Source organism: Homo sapiens, chromosome 5, assembly GCF_000001405.40.
Source record: "Homo sapiens chromosome 5, GRCh38.p14 Primary Assembly".
Taxonomy (NCBI): domain Eukaryota; kingdom Metazoa; phylum Chordata; class Mammalia; order Primates; family Hominidae; genus Homo; species Homo sapiens.
The window spans coordinates 9838348-9864068 of NC_000005.10; the positions used below are offsets into that span (position 1 = coordinate 9838348).

Genomic DNA, 25721 nt, shown 5'->3' on the forward strand with positions numbered 1-25721 from the left:
GATCAAGAGTATGTGGGAAAGAGGAGAATGAAGGAGCGAATAGAATACGCCTCTTAAAATGTAGACACCCAATCTGAACATCTGCCCCTCATGCCAGCCAAGACAGCTCCTGAGCCATATTTTTTCATCCCTGATATGCGAAGAAAAAGCTACAAAGCAGGTTGCCTGTTATGCATACATGATGTGAAATGACACCTCAAGGTACAGCTTTCTGTTCTTCAGCAGCTGAGGTTATCACTGACATTTGCCTCTGATTCTCATATCCACAGTTATGAAGATGGAATAAACCAGGGGTTCTGAGAGCTTTAAATGCTGGACAGTACTTCTGCTCCGAAAGCACAACTCTCCTCTGCATCAACTCCTAGCAAGCCCAATAAAATGGATTCTTGGATATACATTTTTTAGGAAGAGAGTAAGATGCAATGTTCTATTAGGAAAGGAAGCTCAGTTCCTTAAGGTCATCTTCAACGCTGGAAATGATTCACATTTGGAACACTGACCTCCCGTGCTTTTTCTGAGGTGTGTTTCAACACCAACAGCAGGCTAAACCAAACATCTGAAATGCAGTGAGAGCTGGATGGTTAGAAGGCTCTGGTTTCAGACCTGGACTAACTGGACACTGAAATCTGGGCTGGAGTACTTATTCCAGAAGCCGATGGAAAAACATCACGTTTTAAAAGTCAAATCCTTGACTCAGGATCATAACATCATCAGCATCGAGCAGGTCTCTGTTATCACCACAGTGATGAAGCCTGAGCTGCGCAGCCGCTAGGGTAAAGAGGGCTCTGTGCTCAGCTCTGTGAAGACAAGGAGGCAGATTCTCAAGAGCTTAGAGCTTTGCACAGCTGCAGAGTGGGCAGGGATGAATGCAGGAGAGGGAGTGGGAAAGCAGCACAGACACGGTAAAAGGAAAAATAATTTAGGCTGATGGAACTCTCAGGTTTCCGACACTCAAACTGCCATGTGAAAAGCAAGTGGTAAGAATTCATATATGATATCAGCAATAAAATAACATCCTGTTGTACAACAAAATACACTGAAAGACAACCTTTAGTCTTTTATAACGACAAGCAGATCTCATAAGTAAATGAAAAGCTAGTCCATTACTCTTTTTATTCCTTAAAACAAAATAAAAAAAGAAAAGCTTTCAGTGACATGATGAAATTACTATCACAACACTCTTGACAATCTCCAAATAGGGAAGGTGTGTTTCTACGCTGAAACAGGAGAAATTGTGCTTGAGGAATCCAATAAGTACAAAGTGACTCAAAGCTCTATCACAGCTGTCAATAAAGAATGAACAGACAAAATTCTTCACAGGCTTAACATGAGAGGCATTGAGCGTTTTGCAAGGCTGAACAACAGACGGGTAGTTTTTGCATGTGCAGTGCTGTCAGAAGTTGTAAAAGTAAACACACGTCTTTTTTTTTTTAAGGTAGTCCATTACAGGTAATTACATATTTAAAGTATAGTCATTTTTCCTGCCTTCCATATTTAACTATTCTTATCTCAGTCATTTTAATACAGAATACTTAATGTAATCGATTTTTATATTTCTAGGGGAAAGGAAACTTCTAGCCCCTTTGCAGGCCAAACCCAATTTGGCTTACCATTCTAGACTTTCGTCCTCCCAGAAGGATTCTGAATCCAACTCTTTAGGAAAATGACTTTGAATGGGTTGTGATTACAAGCAAATGAGATGAAAAGAGTCAACGTTTTGGACTCTTGCTCTCCTTGCTACCTTGTATTTCAGCTGCATAAAGTTCCCTGGTGAGATTTTGCCACCTATGTCATTGATTACATCAATGTGAGCTGCAGGAAGGGTGAGCTAAACTGAGGACTGTCTGCACAAGTGAGATATTCCTCACTCTTCTTCAATTTACCACGAAAACAGGGTAGCTCTGAGCCTCAAAAAAGTGTAGCTCAGACTTCTGGGATTCACATTAACTCATCCAACCATCGAGTTTACATCTCCTGTTCAATCTCTTTCAGAGTTCTTTATCTGAATGAATGGCACCAATATTCATCTTGTTTTTTATCCTTCCCATCTTTCTCCTCTACCATCCATTTTTAGTTATTCATATCTTATTATCTTTTGGTGGTGACTATAAAGATTAGGGCATGCACTCTTCTTGACTATTTAAACTCTAACATGAATTAAGATTTTTACCACTATCTTAATGTTACATTAACTCCATTTATTCCCTTATGTTTTTTGAATTGTTGTCATGCATTTTAATTCTATATATTCCTATATATTTTAGATCCCAAGGCTTTATCATTTTGTACAGTCAATGTTCATTTATATTTATCACTTATGTTGCTCTTCATTTCTTACTGTATTTCTGTGTTTCTGATAGGATTACTTTTATTTTCCCTGAAGAACTCCATTAGAATATTTTTAGTGAAGGTGTGCTAGTAACAAACTCTTTCAGTTTTTATCTAAAAATGTTATCTATTCACATTCACTTTATTTTTCATTTTATTTTATTTATTTATTTATTTATTTATTTTTTTTTTTTTTTTTTTTTTTTTTTTTTTTTTTTGAGATGGAGTCTCACACTTTCACCCAGCTGGAGTGCAGTGGCACAATCTCAGCTCACTGCAAACTCTGCCTCCCGGTTTCACGCCATTCTCCTGCCTCAGCTCACATTTACTTTTAAAAGACATATTCACAAAGCACATAAATCTAGGTTGGTCTTTCAGCACTTTAAAGCTTTTATTCTACTGTGATCTAACTTCCATCATATTCATTTAGAAGTCAGCTGTCTGTCTTATATTTCTACCTTGAGAGCATGTGTCCTATTTTTCTCTCTGGATGCTTTCAAGGGTTATCTCTTTGTCATTTGTTTTTGCAAGCTTACTTTGAATTTATCCATATTGAGAATCACAGTGCTTCTTGAATATGGTGCTGAATGTCTTTAATCTGTCATTTTTCTCTTGAAATATTACATATTCCCTTTCATCTTCTCCTTCTAGGAAAAAATTATACATTTATTGGTGCCTTTCGCCATATTTCACATGTTTCTTTACTTACATACATTCAGCATTCCACTTTTTGCCTTGCTGTAGTTCAGCCTGGATATTTTCTACTTTCTTAGTTTGTTTACAAATTCTCTATTCTGATGTACTGAATTTGCTATTAAACTCATATCATGAGTTGTAATATAATTTATTAAATTTTTTAGTTTTAGAGATTCCATTTAACTCTGTTTTATAAATTTCAGTTCCTAAGGACATTCTCCACTCTGTTATTCTATTTTCTTGACCAAAACATGATGGGAAATGCAATCTCTCTGGGATCCTTAGCATCCCTTTCTGTTCTTGCTGGTGGTGCCAACAATAAAAGGCTGTGGCCAGTCTACCTGGGCCATTTTCCAAGACTGTGTTTGTAGTCAGTAATTTTGAGGAATAATGTAATGTCTCCCTCCAGAACAGAGAGCAAGCTTTCTTAGTGTTTGCTATAAAAGCATGGGATTCTCTAAACTTGATGTTCTCCAGCTGTGATGCAAACCCACTGCATGTGTAGCATTCATCTGAGCTATATAGCATTGCCCCTGTGGAATTTGGAGGCCAGGAGGCAATGTGAATATGCTTACATCCATCATGTGCTCGCTGAGCCATAAGTAATACAGTTCTTTCTTTGACCTAGAAGTCTCATGTTCTCTTCCAGCATTTGTAAAGCAGTAACAGATTAACTTATCTGTAAGTAAGGTGAGGTCAAATTCCCGACCAGGAAACCAAGCACAATTATTTTAATGTATGTGTGTAAAAACCTTCATCACTTGTAGATCTGTGTCTGTCTCTACTGTCCTTTGTTTTTTCTTAGTCCTGTTTTTTGGTGTGTCTCATAATTTTTTATTGAAAGTCAGACATTATCTATTAAAAAATAGTAAAGCCCCTGGAGCATGTTATCTTCCTCCAGGGAAGGTTCAACCTATATTCTGGTAGGAAGTCTTTCTTTCTCTCTTTTTTTTTTTTTTTTTTTTTTGAGAGACAGTCTCACTCTGTTGCCCAGGCTGGAGTGCAGTGGCACAATCTCAGCTCACTGCAACCTCCACCTCCCAGGTTTAAGCAATTCTCCTGCCTCAGCCTCCAGAGTAGCTGGAACTACAAGTGCCCACCACCACGGCCGGCTAATTTCTTTTGTATTTTAGTAGAGAAGGGGTTCCACCATGTTGTCCAGGCTGGTCTCAAACTCCTGAGCTCAGGCAATCTGCCCGCCTCAGCCTCCCAAAGAGCTGGGATTACAGGCATGAGCCACTGTGCCCAGCACAGTCTGTCTTTTGAAGCAGCTCAATCCACCCAGCTACTAAGCTGATTTGTGGCAAAGTTGCAGTTTTTACAAGTTTCTATCTCTGGCTTATCTCTACTCCTAGAGTCTAGTTTTCCATGGGTCCTAATTGGAAGCCTGAAACCTTTACTGTTTACTAGGGCCTCTCCTGCTTGGTAAGTCTTGACCTCTAATTATTGGGTCATAACTGCCTTGCGATGGCCAAAATCTCTTCTGTACTTTTGATAGCTTTCTACTCAGCTTCTTAGTCTCTTGCCCATACAATCTAACAATTGGACAAATAGCTTGAGGAAGAAAACCATGAATTTGGGCTTATTTCCATATGCCATGCTCATTTATAAGAATCTAGCATCTCTGTTCTGCCCATCTTGGACACTTCAAATTACAAATTTTTGCTATCCAACCCCAGGCTAAAAGTTCAGCTGGCTTCTCTGCCTTTTATGCAGGACTCTTTTCCTGTCTTTTTTAACCTCTCACTTACTGTAAATTCTCTGAGGGAAGAAGTAGCTCACAGAATGTTGGCTCACCTCTCTATAATTCTTTTCCCTCTGGATTATTTGTGATTGAAGTTTTTGTTGCTTCAGCAGTTCTTCCATGTCTTTAATCTGACTTTTAAATAAATATTTACTCTGTCTTTTCTCATTTTGTGGAAAAGTCTTTGGTCTTCCACAACCCAAAGTACCATTTCTGACATGCCCTTATCCTTTATAACCAGTACTTCCTAAATGTTTCTCACATCATTCCACTTTTCTCCATCTCCTCCACCATTACCATTTCACTTCTTACCTACAGTATAGAATATCTTGCAACTAATCTATCTTCAGCCACGATTTTCACTTTTAATCTGTTCTCTATAAGCAACTATAGTGATATTACAACAAAAAAGTATTAGTTTCATATTTCTGTATAGCAAGGTGCCACACATTTAACCGTTTAAAACCAAACAAGTTTACTATTTCACAGTTTCCATCCATCCAGAGATGAAGGGTAAACCACGAAAAATATAAAGCATTTTCAGGCTATAGACTTAATAAAGAATGGTAGCCTCAAAATTCCTCTGTTTCTGAAGTGAGGAGATGGCTGGGTACCAGAATATGACCCCAGTAGCACAGGAATCCAAGCACAGTTTAGTTAAGTTCTCTGTTCAGAGTATCACTGGTCTTCAACATAGTTGCAAGCTGGGCTACATTCTCAACTGAAGGCTTCACTGTGGAAGAATCCTTTTCCAAACTCATTCAGGCTTTGCAGATAGACAAAAAGCTAGAGCCTTTTGTTGGCTGTCTGCTAGAAGCTGCCCTCATATTCTAGAGGTTTCACTCAGTTCCTTGCCATGTGAACTTCCTCAACATGCCTGCCCTCTTCATCAAGCTAGCAAGGATAATTTCTTGCTCTAGTATATTAAGACAGAATCCTACATAATGTAGTATTATCATTGGGAATGACATCTCATCATCTTTGCGTATTCTACTGGTGAGAAGGAAGTCACAGGTTCTACCCACACTCAAGGAAAGGGAAGTATGAAGGATATAAACCAGGAGGGCTGAGATCATGGAGACAATCTTAGAATTCTGCCATTTTTCTATTATATTAGCCTCTTCCCAGATTAAAACCCTTCCATGGCTTCCCATTGCTAATAGGAAAAAAATTTTAATGACTTATAAATTCCTGAATGATCTAAACCCTAACTCTCTATCTTCATCTCATGCTATGCCCTCCCTTATTACTTGTATTCCAGTCACATTTTTCAGTTCTTTATATTTGCCCTATTCTTTCTTACCACAGGGCCTTCTACATTAATTCTTACCTAGGTCATGCCTGTTCATTCTTTAAGTTTCAATTTAAGCGTGATTTCCTATGTAAGTCTTCCCTGACATATTTAAACAGGATAAACCTCATTATATAGCCTCAAATACATCTTGTTTGTAATTTCATATAGTGCATTCACTTATTTACGTGATTATTTGGTTTCAGCACATCTCCCCTCCTAGACTATAAGCTCCATAAAATCAGATGCTTTCTCTGAGTTTGGCTCCATTGTATCCTAATTAGCTATGAACTCTATATTCTGCTTGGAAGCTTTCAGCATTTTTTTAGGCCTTTTGTAATAGATGAACTTTTCTACAAAAAAAGTAAGCTAATCAAAGAGCTTTCTAAATCATCTGATTCTATAAACCAGAGCCAGGATGAAAGAGAGTCTGAGAATGACCGTGGCCCTTGCCAGGTGAATTTTCCCAAAGCTGAGGTCTGACCATGATATTTACATGATCAATGTCTTCAATAGTGTCAATTGTCATCAAAAATTTTTTACACTCCTTATTGGACATAAAAGGCCCTCTGTGACCTGGACCAAACTAATGTTTCCAAACCTATTTCCTATTACATCCTGCTATGGACTGAATATTTGTGTCCCTCCAAAATTCCTACATTGAAGCCCTAATGCCCAATGTGATGGTATTTGGAGGTGGAATCTTTGAGTGGTAATTAGGTTTAGGTGATGTCATGGGAGTGGAGCCCTCATGATGGGTTTAGTGCCCTTATAAGAAGAGGAAGAAAGAGATCTTTCTCTCCCTCCACCCCACATGCACCAAGGAAAGGCCATGTGAGCACACAGTGAGAAGGTGGCTGTCAGCAAGCTGGAAGCAGATCTTCGTGGGTATTATTGGTATATTTGCCTGACAGATTAACATGTGTTATTAAATTTAAAAACTAGTCTGTTCTGCTTTATCTCCCCCGTAGAATCTAGATATGTTGCATGCAGTAAACATTTAATGATATTTGCTGGATAAATTTGTTGCAAGTGAAAGTAGTTTCTGGGCAAGCTCCAGATTCAAGGCAGAAAAAAAAATGTTAGTGCTCTTCAGGGATAAGGCAGTCATTCAATGTGTCTTAGTTGTCAAGTGTGAAAAAGATTCAAGGTGCCAAGTATGGTGCATTAATTCAAATGAAATTGGGCCCCAAGTACTTCAGAAATATGACAGACAAGCTAGATATCATATCAGGAAAGCAAAGAATAAAGGAAGGAGAATAAAGGCTGAAGCCGTAATACAATGAGTCTATTTGCAAATTGAGCCTAAATTAAGGACCAAGTAAGAGATGAAGTGAGAAAATGTTTGCAAAGTGTCCGCCAAATGCAATGGATTATTAGAGTAATTCTTTTTAATTTGGTTTACTGGTGGACATAACGATTATTGATAATGTAGTCAAGAATATCTTGTGAAATAAAGATGCACATTCTAGGGTAACAGTCCAAAACAGAAACAAAAATAACACCAACCAAACAAAAATAAGAGAGGCAATGTCAAATGCCAAATAAAATGTAAAGGAATAAATGAAAACATATTATTCATATATTAGCATGAGCTTGAAGGTAATGTTTCACTCTGAGACCAATTACTACAAGGAAGGAGATAGAAAACTGGGGCAATAAACTATTTTTTAATAGTAGAAAAAGGTGTGTAACACAAATATAATTAGATGAGATTTATATAAACCAAGAAAGCTATTTCCGATGAAGGGCTAGAAAACAAAGAAGGTCTTTGAATGAAGAAATGGATACTTCAACAAAGAAGTAACAAGCAGTATGCAAAAGTTTACAAAGTCCTGAAACTTTAAGCACCACTGACTAATTACTGCATATTGTTTCCACCCATAGGGACTATGTCTTTCTGAGCAAGAGAAAAGTTTTTGGAGGGCGACGACAATGTTTCATCCATTCTGGTCTCCTCATAGTCTGGGACAATGTTCTACACACTGGACAATGTGTCCAGTGAGCCCCAGGTCATGTTGTCTGTGTCTCCCGGACACGCTATTTCTATGCATTTGTCTTAGAACACACTTCTCCTCTCTTTTGGAATAAGTTAAAACAGACAGAACAGAGACCATTTGAAATAACATTCCTACATCTTTCCATCAGTGCATGCACATCTCCTATTAAAAATATTCAACACTCACCTTCTCTGAATGTACTTTACTCTTATGAGAACTGCATTTAGGTGAAAATATCTGCTCATGTCTAAACCAATCCCCAAACACACACACATTGCACACACACACACAAACTAAGACAAACAAACAAAAATGAACTCTACTTGTAAAACCTGAAATTTCTTGAAGGCTCAGAAGTTCAAAATAACAATATTTCAATATGTGCCCCTAAGTTGACCAATTGAAAACAAAACCAAGCCCACACTTTTCTAACTCACTAACCCTTTTTATGCTTCCAACTTATTTCAATTGTCTCCTTACACTTTCTTTTGAAATCTGCTTTTCTTTCAGGTGTAACCATGGGCAGCCTCAAAGTTGCAGTCTCAGGCCATCTGCCTTAGCTGTTCAATGTCTCAGTTACCTCATTAACTCCCATGATCTCATTACGAACTGTGAAAATGATTCCCAAAGCTACAGCCCAGCTCTGACAGCTCACCCTCTAGCAAGTCCCATATAGGCAGACACTTACAGGAAAACTTCATAGATGACCCTAAAACTCACAAAACCTTACACGCTGAAATCCAAGTTGATCTTCCTCTCAACAACCTTCTCAAATTGTCCATTGTTACAAACAGCCTTATCATATTCATATCATATTCAGGTTTTGACCATAAGAAAATGTTTGTACTTCTTCTCTTTTGTCCTATGCCTGATCTTACATAACATGGTAAAGGGGTCTATTTTAGATCCTTTTTTAAAAAAGTTCTTTGGGTTTCCCCCTTTTGATTTTTATAAAATTATACCCTCAATACCTAACTTCTAGATCCCTGAAACAATACACAAATTGGTTTCCTTGGCCCTGGGTTCTCTAGCTCTAGACCATCTGTCTTAAGTCAGTTTCACTAAATGCAGAACCTGAGATAGGATTTCTTGTTCATGTGATCAATTGAGGGAGTGCTCTTAGAAGAAGAGAGTGAAGGCAGCAGGATGCAGCTAGAGCAAAATACTAACAAAAATATACTCTCACCAGGGACTGGCTTGAGCCAATGTCACATGGAAGCTTTGGAGCATCAACGACAAGCCAGCTGGAGTTGGTGCCACCTTGAGACAAAGTGACCAGTCATTTGTAAGCCTTTGACGGTCGGTATGCCTGATGGTTGAGTTGTTTCGCCTCCTAGAAGGTTCCATTAGCCAAGGGCAACTCTCCAGAGACAGGACAGCTGTGGGCCATAGCCACACTAAGAGTAGCTGGGGCCTGGGTGCACCAGTAGTGGAGGTCATCTGGGCAGGGCACCAACTACTTCCCCAACACCAGTGGTTCTCAAAGTGTGGTCCCCGGACCAGTGAAGTAGCATCATCCAGAAACTTGTCAGACACGCAAATTCCTGGGCTCTACCTCAGACTTACTGAATCAGAAACTCTGGAGTGGGACTGGATCCCAACAATTTGTGTTTGAACACTCCCTCCAGGTGATTCTGATGCACACTAAGGCTTGAGAAACATGGCACTACACCATCCAACACAGAACTCATGAATACTTCTTAAGTCCCAAATTAGTATTCACTGATCAAGAACCTGAAGTAACTCTTATCACTGCTTCTGTCAGCAATAAATTCCGCAGGTTTACAATAAATGCCTTCCATCAAATTAGATGCCTTCTATTCCTCCAAAGACCCATCTCAGCAACGCTTCTTTCTTTGTAACTCTTCATCATCATGGAATCACAGGATATTGGAAGAGAACTTGAAGGTTAATTAATCTAGCTCCCTCCTTTTTGCAAATGAAACAATGGAGGCATCCAAATTGTAAGCATCTTAACCAAGATTATGCAATGGGAACTCGGGTCTCCTTATGTCAAGTTTAATGCTTGTTGTTATACATTATGCCGATTTTACTCCAAATTAAGGGTATGAAGTTTCAGGTTTGACACGATGAATAAGCTCTGGTCATCTATTGTACAGCAGAATGACTACAGTTAATAATAATGTATTACATACATGAAAATCACTAAGAGAGTAGATTTTAAATGTTCTCACCACAAAAAAAATAATGTGGAAGATGATACCATGTTAATTAGCTTAATTTAATCATTTTCCAATGTCTACATATATGAAAACAGCACATGGTACACTGTAAATTTATACAATTTTTATTTGTCAATTATATATATATGTTAATAAAGTTGGGGAGATATTTTTAAAATTAAAATAAATTTAAGAAAAGAAAATTCATTACAACATAGTCACAGCTAGGTCAGCTCTACCTCTTTAAATTGGTGTTTGTGTTTTTGCCTGCAACTAATATACCTGCTTAACCGTTTTTTAAGTCTGTTTCCATTACTTCCTTCAGGAAACCGTCCATGACAGGCATGGTTTATGATGTTCCTATTTGTCAGGTATCTACCATCCCCTTGACACTTCCATGAGAAGAATACGTTTCCTTGCCAATCAATGTTGGTCTTGGAAGGCGAGACCAGAGGAATGTGAGGAGCTGGGAGGAACCCTGAGTGCACATGGGGCAAAAGCACAGCATTTGGCTGGGACCCAACCCTCCTTCTCTCCATTGTGAAAACAAGTCCCAGATGGAGATGTTCCTGGGATCCGAACTGAAAAGACACATGGATCAGAATTAAACCTGACCCCAGCTTAGAGTCAAGCAAGTCTAACCCAGTGGGGCCACCCCTGGTCCACAGACCCAGGTTGAGATATGAATATTTAACCACCATTCTGTATCATTTGTTAAACAGCACTGCCACAACAACACATGTTCACACACACAGTTCAAATGCTGGAGACCAAGCATGTTTCCATGCATTGGAAATACATGAACTCACTTAATTAACAACCCTATGAAGTAGGCGCTATTATTAAGTCAATTTTACAAATGAATACCCTAAAGCAAGAGAAGTGATGTAATCTGCCCAATGCTGCATGGCTGTGATACAACTAGACCACCCAGCTCTGAAGGTCATGCTGTCCTCCACTCTGCAGGTGACATTTCAGGCATCTGGACACTTCTGTGTTCCCCCCTCCTCTGGGTTCCCAGACTTCCATAGGAATTCCTGTAGCTTTGCCCTTATCTCATCATGTTGAGGTACAAAGGTTCACTTGATGTATCTCACCTCCTAGGTGGAGAGGCTAAATACTACCTGGTCCACTTAAAGAGCCTGTAACAAGGAGTTCAGTAAACACTGGTTAATTGACAAACTATGAAGACTCAAACTCAGCTCTCAGGACCAAGGGCTAGTGCTGATGCTGTGGTCTCCCAGGCAAGCTCCCATCTTCCTCTATACCTTTCATGCATCTGGGGGCAGCACAGCTCCATCCCTGTCTTGACTAGCTCTCCTAGACCAAACACTCACCCAGATATCACAGCTCCCCATGATCTATCCTCAGCATATCTTTTCCATCTCCTCTTTCATTTATCTCACAGTTCGTGCTAAGTCCCACTCAAGCACTCCACTGTCTCTCACTCCTATCTGACATGAAAGTCCCTCAACTATGCATGGTCTATTCCACCCTAACCACAGGTGCAAACCTTTCCCACCCTCAAAGCGCAGCCCAAACACCTATCCCCTGGGCGCCCCAGCTGAACATCCTCTTCCCTCCTCTGGGCTTTAATAGCACATCTCTGTGGCTTTGGTGTCTGTGTCTCTAGGCCTATGACATTGCTTGTCTACAAACTCTCTATGTGTGTGCTTATTTCTGTTACTTCCACAAGCCTCTTAAAGCTAGGGTCCATGTCAAATCCATCTACATTATCCCAAAGCACAGAACACATGACTTTCAATTTATGGCAAGCATTCAATAACTATTTCCATAATCAAAAAGTGATGGTAAAACTGGCTTGCTTTTGTGAGGTATTATTCACTGTTAGCTTGTTCTAAAGGGAGCTGGGTGATGGCATGCAGCAGAATCCATCACGGAGGGTACATCACCCACCAGCTTTCCATCTGCAGATGTTGCCCATTGTAGAGCAGCATGCTGCCTGTTCAGGCACTGTTGCCAAACAGAAGGTTCTCTTGGCAGAAGAACTGGCACATGCTGGGCTCTGCAGGCTGTGCCCCCGAACCAGCTCTTCCACATTGGCAAATGGGCATCCTTGAAATTGCCCTGCCCCATCCCCCACAGGCCTCCTACCACCCAAACAGATGGGCACACGTGTAAGTATGCCGGGGAGCAAGTGTGTACATCAGGTTGGAGCTCCTGATAAAAGATTTGTCTCTCATACATGGTATCAACCCCGTCCAAAGAGCAAAAGCACACCACTGTGAAATGGGAGGTGTTGCAAAGGAATTGCCTTCATATTCTAATTTTGGGATCCATTAATTAAAGAGTCCCAGACCTGGAGTGGGAGGGGGAGAATGAGAAAGAGCTGAAAGAGAACATTCTGTTTCCCTTTAAAGTTTTGGCTGGTGGCATCAGTGGACCTGGAAATGAATGTTGTCTCTTTTCAGGTGGAGTTCAGATTTAAGGCATTTTTCAGGAGCAGCTAAATCCACGACCTGAGATGTCTATTGCTGCCTGCAAGACAGCTGGATAAAGGCAGTTCTCTCAGGGACTAGTATGCCTCCACACACAGGTAAGAGTAAAAGTTTAATAAATTATCTATAAACCATGTTTATAGAGAGAATGATACACTCAACATCCAAACTTATTGATAACCTAGTTGCAGTAATGTCAGAATCGAGTTGAAAACCTTTATTGACTCAGGTTGTCTTCATTGTCTGAAGGCGCATGTTGGCTAGACAACAAAGACAGTGGTGGGAGCAGCCAACATGGCCTTTGGTGTACATTACAAATTTAAAAGCCTAAAATTGACAAAGAAATAATACCACCTATAACTCTAGAGCACTTTAATTCTGGTCTTTTTTGAGACACTAAAGACAAATAAGAACTGCATTGATCCACTTGATCTACAGATCTCACAAGTAATTTCTTCTGCTGGGATTTGTTTTTTTTTTTTTTTCTTTTACTTTCCAAACTCTAAAATATCCATGACTCATTTGGAACACAAGAAGTGCAGCATGAACATCCCAGTTGGTCATCTGCAGAATATGCCAAACAGCACAGGATGCGGGGAAGCCACATAATGGAGAACAGATCATCGTCTGGCAAAGCAACTGTCCAATGGCCAGCAGGTGGCCCAGTTGCTGGACCAATATGCTGCCCAGTACTGGAAGGTGCTCAGTCTCAGAAATGGGTTATAAATACCCATACAGGGCTGTGACATGTGGAAGCTAAGAGCCTTAAAGACTTCAAGCTTTGCTGGTCACACTAGGGGCGTCAAGTGCTTCTCTGTAGATAGAATCTATCCAGTCTGTTTATTGTCTGCCTTTTAAAAGTCACTCCTCATTTCCAGACAGCTTCAGATAGAGGCTTGACTAGGGATTAAATATCCATCATTAATATGGCTCAGAGACATTGAAAAAGAATAAGAGAGAAGAGAAGAAGAGTTTAAATACCTCCTGTAGAAGGGCTATCTCACTGTGACAGCTCTGGATGTTTCATTTATTAAACAATGGAAGGTATAGTATATTATAGATGTGCTTAAAAAATCATTTACAAAGGAGAATTACTTTATTTTTAATGAAGAATCAAGCCTTATCCTCTAGGAGGCTTTACAAAAATGGTTTTGAAGAAATTAACCTCTAATTTTATTTATTTAAATGCATGTATTTCTAAAGCTTCAAAATTATTGAGGTCCACTAGTTGTTTTTTTTTTCAAAGTTACTTTAGCTAGTTGGATGACTTAACTGTAGATCACAAGAGTGTCCAAACTTATTTTCACTCCCCAGAATTTTTTTCATTCTCTCCTGTTTCTGTCAGGAGGTCACTATGTTCATTTGCCTGGTAGCAGGATGAATGGCAAACTCCTGGCATGTACAAGTTGAGGAAGCTGCAATTTGCTCCCCCTTTCTCTTGAAGGTCACTAAATTTAATACTGTGATTGAAACTCAGTGCCTCCCACAAATCTCCAGAGAACTGTGATTCATAAGGAGGAAGATAATTTGGAGGTGGGATATGTTAACCTGTGCACACGTGTTAAGCAATTATAAATTGTTTCCTTTCATCTGTCTCAGATGTAATACATAGCAAGACTCTGAAGTATAAATCCTCTTTAAAATGAGACAGTCGGGCAATAGCCCATGAGGATACGTGGGTTCATTCACAGCACTGATACCCCTGTACAACATCAGATGGTGACAAATGAGACTGATTTTCAGCTTGGCTTGACTTGAACTGGTAGCTTCTATCTTTGGCTTCCTTCTTGCAGGAAAAAAAAAAATATATATATATATGTCTCATTTAGCCCATTGGCATCATTCCCAGTCAATGAATGAGCATGACACTTCTCCCAGTAACCATCTCAAAGTTTTCTAGCTGAGCTAGTTAGTATAGAAAATGTTTTGGCACTGGAAAACAGATGATAGAAATCATTGTTTCACTTGGTGCACGGGAGAGCAGTGGGGAGGTAGGATATGCAGGACAAAGTAGTTTTGACTTTGCCTCTCCCAGTCCATGTAACCTTTGATATCCCAGAATTGGAATCCCTGGATACACATGAAACACATTAATGCATCACAGGCAAGCCCAAAAATTAGGGCTTAGTCCAGGAAGGTTTTTGGCTTTTCCCAGGAAAGAATTCAAAGGTGAGCCAGTGGTAGAAGAAAACAACTTTATTGAGATGGCAGTGTTACAGCTTCGTGACTGCTCCCGCAGAGCAGGGCTACCCTACAGGCTGTGTCAAGAGCAGCAGCTCAGGCACAGCTCACAGTTAAAAGTGAGCTCATGGTTAAACTCACTTTTAATTACATGCCAATTAAGGGGTAGATTATTCAGAAATTTTTGGAAAAGGAATGGTAACTTTCAGGACATTGCCATGGAAAGGGGCAGTAACTTCCAGGTGTTGTCATGGAAACAGGTGGTAACTTCCAGGTGTTGCCGTGGCAATGGTAAACTGTCATGGTGCTGGTGGGCATGTCTTATGGAGAGGTACTTTGGGTGCCTCTTCCCTGATTCAGCCAGTCTTTAATCTGGTCCAGAGTCAAGTCCCACCTCCTACCTCAACATGACTGTATCCCTGAATACACAAGAAACCCTTGGCGATATCTAGGTCTTCTAATTGGGGATGACAAGGGGAGCATATACAGGAATAAACCTTTGCTGGAGAACCACGCAGTGGCTCCTGATGGGGTGGGAATGGGCATAAAAGAGATATGAGGCAGAGTGACCAATGACAGAGGATCACAACAAGAAAAGGCACATTTGAGAGCAATTATAAGGTCAATGATACTGAGAAGTGCTGCACTTCTAAATCTACCTCCCAATAACATATTGGTCTAAATTGAAAGGGTTCTTCCTGTTTTTAATCATACATGATTTTAATTTAACTCACACAGTCTCCCTGTACTAGTTTGCTAGAGCTGCTGTGGTAAAATACCAAAACTAGATGGCTTAAACAACAGTGACTTATTGTCACACAGTTCTGTAGACAAGAAGTCTAAGATCCAGCTGTCAGCAGGGTTGGTTCCTTTGAAGACTGTGAGGGAGAATCTGCTTCAGCCTCTCTAGCTTCTAAAGGTTTGCTCGCTGGGATCTTTGGTGTTGCTTGGCTTGTAGACACATCACCCCAACCTCTGGCTTTATGTACACATGTCATTCTTCCTGTGTGTGTCTCTCTGTGCATAAATTCCTTTTTTTTTTTTTAAGAAGGACACCAGTCATATTGGATTAGGGCCTCACCTGCTCCATTGTGACTTCATATTAACTAATTACATCTACAACAACCTAATTTCCAAATAAGGTCACATTCTGAGCTTCTGGGAGTTAAGACCCCAACATGTAAATCTGGAGGGATGCAATTCAACACGTAATATTCCCTAACACAATATTTCCATAACAGTCTGTAGCGTCTTCTTCAGGCTAAGGGATTGGGGCCTCATCTATCAGAGTTGTAATAAGGAACAAAGGTTGTTGAAGGTAAGATGAGACTCAAGATTCAATAATATGTTCAAACTGCAGAATCAAAGAGTATATTGAGGCCAAATATCTAAAAAAGAAAGTTTGATGGATTGCTAAAGTAAGAGGATCAGAAGGAAGTATTAAAACTAAGATAAGGATACAGAAAGTTGCAATACTGGATTTGACATAAATGTACAAAAAACAGGGAAGGTTAAATAAATCGTGATACAACCATCAAAATTAAAGATTTGGTAAGTATTTTCTCATCCCATGAATAAAGGCCCATTGATCTTTTTGTTGAAGGATATTCAGCCCATATTAACCAGGGTTGAAGATCCTACATAAAAAGATTTGAGTTGCCATTTTCTCAAATAATACCCTCAGACACTGACTCTTCATAATGGGTTCTGCTAGTACAACTCTGAAAGTCTTAGAGAGAAGTTTATTCATTCCATTCAAAGGATACTTGTTTCGAGAGCCCCCAGCTAAATTTGGGTTCTAGTACCAGAACAGCTAGCAACCCTGCCCTAATGGGACATGAAGGGTACCTGGACATGGGTGTTTACAGTGTACCTTTCACGGGATACTTCTTTTACTTGGCAGACTTCCTAATTCTTACTTGACTGACTTGCAATCAGGGAGTCCCTCACATAGGAAACTTGTTTACACTGGCAGATGCCCTTATGGCTCTTATCTGACCCATCTCCAGTTTAGTCCTGCCTGACCATTGCTCAGGCACTGGGAGCCTGACTTTCTAGTCTCCCTGGCAACAGGGAAAATCCGGCCAGGATAACCTCTAGTTCTTTAGATGGAAGGTGCAAATTCAATACACCATCACAATAGGAAATAAGTTTAAAGAGTTTTTACTTATAGGTCCTAGGCAAAGGAGTTGACAATGAGTCAAGAGTGAAGCTCTCCATCCTCAGTCATGCAGGCAGAAATGGAGTCAGGCAGAGAGAGACAGAGAGAGCGTGCACACATGAGTGCATGCTCTCAGCAGCATATATAAAAGAACAGCGTATCAGTCACTTCAAGTAATTGGGCAAATGCCTGAATGATCCCTTTAAAGAAAGCAGAAGGAAGTGCAGAGCTCAGTCTGCCAGACTGGAGAGAGATGCCTCCAAGTTTTTATCTTTGGCCACTGGCTTGAGCCATTTGAGTATAGCATGGAACTAAAGGCTGTGTCAATGGTGACTGAGCCCTGCTTCTGATATGAGAAAGTCAAACTTGTTTTCAAAATAGATGCTGATGCAAGATAAAATCATAAGTATTTACCACAATGCCTTCAGGTATTAGGGCCTAAGGTTTGGTTTTGCTTTTTGGTTTTTGTTTTTTGCTTTTCAATCCTGGTTAAGAAGTGCTAAAAGATATTATAGCCCTACATTCTGATTGGTATCAAGGGCAAATTTTCCTTCTTTTACAATGTGTTTTCTAGTTTTTTTTTTATTTTGTTACAATCAGCATAAAGGAAGAAAAGATTATGCCTTTGAATAAGAATTGTATTTACATTTTACTTTTTAAAAAGAAGGCAATAACTTGCATTTCTAACAATGGTTTATTAGAACCAAACCTTCAGATAGAAGCAACTAAGAATGCTAGATAAAATATTTAAAACGTCTCCTTATAAGAATTTAAGAACTGACAGATAGCCAAAATAAAATCTAAGGAAAGCTGAAATCCAGAAAGCCAAGCACAAGAAACTTACTCTACTTTGACCTGCAGTTACTTGCCTACCCCGAGAAATTCCTGCTTTGATTCTGCAATCTCCCTTGGATAGCACAAGATACAGAGGTCAATGCCCAGGCTGTATCCCAAGTGGAGACACTAATAGGAGGCTCTCCTTATATTAAGCAAGGGGAGAAAAAAAAAGGACAATGAACTCATGGTTATAGTGCTACACATAAACTCCTCTCTCACATCTTTGCAGGAGAATACAGAGGAAGTTGTTGGGCCCTGTCTGGAGTAGGTATTAAAGGAAAAGAAAGAGTGTTCCTACCAAATTATAGACATTAGCTACAGCATTGCCTGGGAGATACAGGGATCCACAGATTACAAACTTGTTTATGGTCACCCAAGACCAGACATACAGAAACTTGGCAGTAGCAAATGCATATTCTCTCTATAGAGAAAATTGTCTATTGACCTTCAAAATATTACCACAATAAAACCCTTAGACAATAAACTGCACACAAATAACCAAGCACACAAGGAAAGAAATCACCATGAGTAAAATCAAGAAGAAACAGTAGAATAACTGAATCATACCCACAAGATTACAGTATTTCAAAGAGATATCTGCACTCCCATGTTTATTGCAGCACTATTCACGATGGTCAAGATATGGAATAAATCTAAGTATCCATCAACACATGAATGGATAAAGAATATATGGTATATATACACAATGGAATACTATTCAGCCATAAAAAGGATAAAATCATGCCATTTGGCTCAATGGGGATAGAACTGGTGGCCATTATGTAAAGTAAAATAAGCCCAGTACAGAAAGACAAACATTGCATGTTCTCACTGATTCATATATATTAATACAGAATAAAGTAAAGTAGATTCTATGGAAGCATAGAGTAGAATTGTGGTAACCAAAGGTTGGGAAGGGAAGTGAGAAGGAGGAGATGAAGAGAAGTTGGTTAAGGGGTACAAAAATACAGTTAGATAGAAGAAGTACGTTTTAGTATTTGACAGTACGGTTGGAGAATTAAAGTTAACAATAATATTGTATATTTCAAAATGCCTAGAAGAATTGCAAGACAAAGAAAAGTTAAACGTTTGAAAGAAAAGATAAATGTTTAAGGTGATGGATATCTCAATTACCCTGATTTGATTATTATACATTGTATGCAGGTATCCAAAGGGCAATGTAACCCAAAAATGTGAACAACTGGTATATATGGAGCATCAGGAAGAGTAGCTAATGGATGTGGAGCTTAATACCAAGGCGATGGGTTGATTTGTGCAGCAAACCACCATGGTTCACGTTTACCTGTGTAGCATACCTGTACATCCTGCACATATACCCGAGCTTAAAAGTTGAAGGAAAATAAATAAATTTAATATAAATATTTATTTTGAATTCTTTATCAGGAAGTTTGTATATCTCCATGTCTTTTGGGTCAGCTACTAGAAGATTATTGTGTTCTTTGGGTAGGAGTTATGTCTCGTTATTGGTTTTTTGTGTTTCTTGTTGACTTACATTGAGGTCTGAACATTTGAAAAAGTAGAGGCTTGTTCCAGTCTGCAGACTGGCTTTGTCTTGGGGGAGCCCTTCACCAGTCAGCCTACCCAGAGATTCTGGGTATACCACCTGGTATGGTTCATGAGCAGGCTTGCTGCTAATGTCCTCCAGCAGGCTGGCCTGTTTCTTGGGTCAGCAGGTGAGCAGACCCTGGTGCCTGGGTCTGCAGGTGCCAACCTGGTGACTAGGGCCATGGGGGGTATTCTAGGGCTGGGGTGGGCATGAAGTCTGGGGCTGTAGGGGCCATCCCAGTGCTGGGGGTGGTCTGGAGCCTAGGGCTGCTGGGGCTACCCTGGCCCTAGGGTGGGCCTAGAGTCTGAATCTGTGGGGGCTGACCTGGCCCTAGGGTAGATCCAAAGCCACTGAGGCCCAGTCTGGATCCTGGGGCTGAGGCAGGCCTGAAGACTGAGTCTGCCAGGCCGGACTGGAGCCTGGGGCTGCAGGATCCAGCCTTGGACTAGGGTAGTCCTATAGGTTCAGTCCAGAGGGACCGGCCTGGAGTCTTAGGTTATGGTGAGCCCAGTGTTGGGTTTTACTGTGGCAGGCCCAGTGTTGGCATCCAAGGCAAAGTGCAGTGCTTACTTTTCTCTCCTTTCCCCAAGTGAAGGGTATCTCTCTCCATGCCGTGCTGCCTGAAGTTGGGGGCAGTGATGCAGGTAATATAAAGCTGTCCTTCTCACCCTCCCCAGTGCTACTCATAACATCAGGATGAAGCTTACAAACAACACATTGAGTAAAAGGAGTCAGACATAAAAGAACACATTGATATGATTCCCTCAATGTTAAGTTCAAGAGCAGGATAATCTAAACTACATTGTTTAGTGATGCTTTTTATAAGAGATAAAAATATCTTTAAAAAGCAATGATATAATTAACAAAATGTCAGAACAAAGATTAGTCTCTGGGAGGACAATATAGAAGGAAATTGGGAGTCTGACGAGGCTCTGTTTCTTAGACTGAATGGTTGTTACAGGGGTGCTTTCTTTAAAAGTGTTCCTTAAACAACAGCTTGTATAGATTGTATGCACTTCCCTGTCTGTATAATATAATTCAAAATAAAACAAGGGAAATAATTTGCAAAAGAAAATGTCTCCTGGATGTCTTGGACTTAGAAAATAAAAGCAAGAATTAGTAGGTAGCAGACAAGCTGTAAGCAATTTTGCACAGTTGGGTATACAAAGTGGTATTGGCTGATAGTTTTCACATTCCACTCACGGAGAGGTAGATGGGTTTAATAGCTGTGTTTAAAGTGTCAGATGCAAGAACAATGATAGGTTTCCCTTAAACGATTTTCACTAATTCCCTCCCAGCTCAAGAACTTTTTTCATTAAAATGGTCCTTTGCTGCCTATCAGAAACAATTAAATCCTCACCTCATAGCAGTCTCCATCTTACGTCAACCACTCCCTTTGGCCCCCAAAATATACCTCCAATATTATCTAACACGAACTGGAATTGCCACATGGTCAAGGCAATAAAGAAATAAAGCCACGAAAGAAACCAAATGAAAGCAAAGGTATAAAATGATTTAGATGTTAGTCTGCAGAAAGAAAAAGCTGAAGGAATTAGAAACAGCCACAGGAACTTTCTGTGAACCAGGAGAGGCACTTCCATTTACAAACCACACTTTGTTTTTCATAGAGTGGGCTTGATCATCACTTAAGAACTGAAAATTCAGCATTCCTTCTAAGGTGCATTTTGTTCAAATTGATATAAGTGCCCCAGATGGTTTGGCTTATGGTATCCCATTGATTATTGCGTTCTGCTCTTGCAAGTCATAGATCTGTTGTAATCTAACTGTCTGGGGAGTGGCCATTATTCTAGTTTCAAACCCATTCTGTCCTCAGTCACACGCATTCAAGCAAAGTAATGCAGGGGGACCAGATAAAAGCCGCCCATTAGAAACCTCAGTTGCTGCTTGCCTCTCCCACAGAATTGAATATATTACTCCAGCTATCGTCAACAAACATGCTTCAACAACAGGATCCTCACTGTTTGGAAGACAGCCCCTGAGACCCAGAGCAAATGGGTCAAAGTCTCAGTTACATCAGTATAACTACAAAGACAATAATTCTTACCTCTCTCACAGGATCCAGTGAAAAAGTAAGTGAATAAAAATAGACTGAAAACAGCAATGTAAGGAGCTAAAAGTACTGTGTGCATTGTTGTAAAATATTAAGTCAACAGTCCAATCATTTATTGCCACTGAAAGTCTAATATCTTATCTGACAGGTTGTAAACTTTCAGAGACATAAGCTTGAAGTGTGTATGTTTGTGTGTTTTAAGTGTGAACTGAAGCAGGTGGCAATAAGGGGAAGAAGGAGGGGAAATGGGAAGAAAAGTAACACGAAGAAGAAATGCATAAAGAAGAGACCATGATCCAGTGGGCAAATAACTCAGTTGAATCTTTGAAGAAACAGGTGTCAATGCTTGTTATCATGGTGAAGGTCAAGTAACATTTTTCTAGACATTTATCTTTACTGCTCTCTGCTAGGAATGACACCAGCGCATCACAATACTGCCCTCCTAGCCTCTCAGCCTGTGCTGCCTCCCACCATGGAGGCACACCACTGCCATTCTCCATTTACCTTCCCTCATCTCCCTCCCCAGCTCAGGCTCCTTGCCTCACAGCTCATCTCTCCAGACTCTGAGTACATTTCAAACTGTCTATGGCACCAAATAATAAGACAAAACAAAATAGGAAATAACAAGCTAAAGAATCAGGTCTAGGAAGGAAGCTCCCTTTCAGTCAGAACCCTCTAGTTTCTTGTGTTACTTCAGGTCGGCTGTGGATTTGATGTGTAAAAGGATGTGTGGGGAAAGAGAGCAGAAATTAGGAAAAGCCTTCAGCCTGGGATGTAGGTCTGATACTGCGGAAGGAGAGAGGGATAGAATATTGGAGAGCAAGAGTCTCAAACTGCAGGAAAAAATGGCTTGGCCAGACCTATGGGCAGTCCTTAAGGCAAAGTTACCCACTGGAGAGCTCCATGTCATGTCTCAGTACCCATCTGTGCTCAGCCACTGGATGGCTGCAGCCTGCAGAAAGGTTGGTCGCAGTGAAAATGTGGGAGCAGTTAAAAAGGGACACAGGTGGGGCCATTTGTGCTTCCTGCAGCAAGACGATCTAAGCAGCAGCCCCTCAAGAAATATGTTCCTTTACCTATTGGTCACCTGAAAGTAAGGGCCTTTTTTTTTTGCTCACTCCATAGCATAGAAGTTGCAAACTGACTGTAATGGACAATCTGGGAAGATGAGGTTTTTTTTTTTTTTTGCTATTGCATTTGGGTATTGAATAGTGTTTTAAAAACTTTTGAGCTAGTGACCAATATTTAAAACAAATAGATTTTACATTTTTAAAATTCACACTTCCAGCTTTTCTTGAAATGAAATGCAAAGGGACAACATTCTTTCACGCTGGTGGAAAAACAGCCTTCCCCCTTAGTGGACATTCACTCTGCAGCTGGCCGTATTTCCCACCATTCCTTTATGCCTACACCAGCCCACGCACGGATCACTTTACTGACTGTTCTCCATGATCATTTAAGGCTTTAAGTCTCCTGCATTCATGCCTGTGTCACCATTAGAACATAATATCACTGACGGCAATTATTTTGTCTGTTTGGATCATTGACAGGCAATTAATTGCCTGCAACAGTACAAGTTACATATTAGCTGCCCAATAAATATTTGTTCAATAAAATAGGGTGCTATCAACATAGAGTGTTGGAAGAAATTGAGTGGATGGTGGTGGAGAAAAGGCACTTGTTTCAGAGTCTTGTCTATGGTTAGCTTTGCACTACCCACACACAACCAAACTGGCACCTAAGGGAGAAGGTGAGACTCCAGACACAGCAGTAGAGGGTGCTTGTTCTAAGGAATATGTAGAATCAAGGTGGTACAGAATGGGTGTGTATACAGCAGCAAAAAGTCTCCCCTTGCATGTCCTGTACCCTCTCGCAGGACTTCTTTACTCTCCTTTCAAATTTAGGATGAGGGAGTGGGTTTGTACAGAGAAGCAGTGCTTATCTCAGCTCCTGCCCTAGCCCCAGCTCAGCCTGAAGCATTGCTACAAAATACTCACTGGGTCACATTCCAGGGCAGCCAGGCATGAGGGGTCCTCACCCCAGAGCTAACGCACACTTAAGCATAATGGAACGAATTGAGTTCAATGATGATGCGATGGGTGATCCTCAAATGGCATAAAAATGCACATGGACAAATATTGCAAATCAAACCGAGAACTGCTGCCAGAGGCCAGTCCCCCGTGGTGTCTCACCAGCTCTGAAAATGATTACCAGATGATAAAGCAGAGCAGGCTCCCTGCAATCTGATTACGAGGAGGGACTGGCAAATCCATTAGGAGCAAACAGGCCTCCTTCAAGTCCATTTTACTTGCTAAAATCAAGCAACGTTAAGTTTAAAAAAAAAAATGAGCCAATTTTTCATCCCATTCTCATTGCCTCATAGTCAGTGCATTCGTTTTCAGTTAAAAGAGCTGGGAAGGTTTGCGCTTTGAGAGCAAACCTTCCTGCTATTAAAAATCAAAGTCAGACGTAAGCCTGGCATGAAGCAGAGAGCTAGTACCTTTAGTTTGTGGGCAACCTGTTCTGACAGCCTAACCTGCAGAAAAGCAGCCGTGGAGGAAGGGAAGCAACTCTGACCTTCTGTGCATCAGACCGCACAGAGCCCTCTGCTTGTGTCCTGTCACATAATTCCCTATTCCCTGGATAAGGAGATTTATAAAGAATCCACTAAGTTAGAACAGGAAGGGATTTTAGCACTTGTGTAATCTACCTTTCTCTTAGTCTTATTTCGTTTTATGATTATTATTATTATTTTGAGACAGGGTCTGGCTCTGTCACCCAGACTGGAATGCAGTGGCGTGATCTCAGCTCACTACAACCTCTCCCCCATCTCTTGCCCCCTGGGCTCAAGCCATCCTCCCAGCTCAGCCTCCCAAGTAGCTGGGACCACAGACATGCACCACCACACGTACTTAATTTTTCTGTTTTTAGTAGAGAGAGTTTCTTGCCATGTTGCCCAGGCTGGTCTTGAATTACTGAGCTCAAGCAATCCACCCGCCTCAGCCTCCCAAACTGCTGGGATTCCAGGCATGAGCCACTGCGCCCAGCCTTAGATTTATTTTAAAACCACATCATCTTTTAATAAGCATAAAAAATGTTCATGTCCTCGAAAGATCTTGACATGGCTGGCTCCAGCTCTACCCCACCTCTAGCTTGAGAGTCTTTTTCTTGTACACTTCCAGTAGCCAACAGGTTTCAGAGCTTTGTATTCCATAGAGTACATGATGGAAACAATGAACCATTTTCCCTGAAATATGAAAATATAATATCATATTAAATATGCTTTGAAACTAAACACTTCCCTCTACCACCATCACCACCTATCAAGATTCTGATACAGGCTTCGCTGACTTGGTTTGGCCCTCTCATGTTATACAGAAAGCGGCTGAGACCCAAAGATTTTTTTTTTTTTTTTTTTTTGAGATGGAGTCTCGCTCTATCGCCCAGACTGGAGTGCAGTAGCGTGATGATCTCGGCTCACTGCAAAGCTCTGCCTCCTGGGTTCACGCCATTCTCCTGCCTCAGCCTACCGAGTAGCTGGGACGTGGGCTCCCACCAACACGTCTAATTTTTTGTATTTTTAGTAGAGATGGGGTTTCACTGTGTTAGCCAGGATGGTCTCGATCTCCTGACCTCGTGATCTGCCCCCTTGGCCTCCCATAGTGTTTGGATTACGGGCGTGAGCCACCGCACCTAGCCAGGCCCAAAGATTATTACTGACCTGAGGCTGCAGACTTGCTTTTCTTCCTAATGCTGGAACCTAACCCCGTGTTCCCTGACTCACATTAGATTGCTCTCTCAGTGCTCAGGGCTTTATACTCCAAACCCAGGGCTTCATACATGACTGCCCAAGAACAAGAGGAAATTGTGAAAAGTGTCTTTGAAGAGGATCATATAAACAGTAATCTTTTGTATTGGCATCATTTGGATAGTGGTGTTGGGACCCAAGGGTGAACACACCCCTCCCCTTCAAAAGTTCTGGTCAATAAAGAACACTCAGAGGACAGTGCTCCTTGGGACAGTTACCCAAGTAAAGTTCAGGTCTGTACTCAACTAATGGCTAAGCAATTCTCCAATAACCACCAGAGGATAGGGCTCTCGGGTGAAAGCTAGATTAGAAAATATGACCTAGAGCTTAGACCAAACATGATTTTTAAATTCTGAACACTACTCCTGCTATGCCCATAACTGAATACAAGTAGG

The 25721-nt window shown here is 40.7% G+C and overlaps 1 protein-coding gene and 2 long non-coding RNA genes across 3 annotated transcripts in view; 1 reads left to right on the top strand and 2 right to left on the bottom strand.

The window, feature by feature from the left end:
- Window positions 1-25721, bottom strand: part of TAS2R1 (taste 2 receptor member 1) — a 276530-nt gene that overhangs the window by 211001 nt on the left and 39808 nt on the right. The gene's annotated exons all lie outside the window — the stretch shown is intronic.
- Window positions 1-25721, bottom strand: part of LINC02112 (long intergenic non-protein coding RNA 2112) — a 262510-nt gene that overhangs the window by 197033 nt on the left and 39756 nt on the right. The window lies entirely within an intron of this gene.
- On the top strand, window positions 16030-19262 carry LINC02221 (long intergenic non-protein coding RNA 2221). Its single transcript, NR_147004.1, has 2 exons — window positions 16030-16200; window positions 19045-19262. It is a non-coding gene; the product is annotated as a long intergenic non-protein coding RNA 2221 (long non-coding RNA).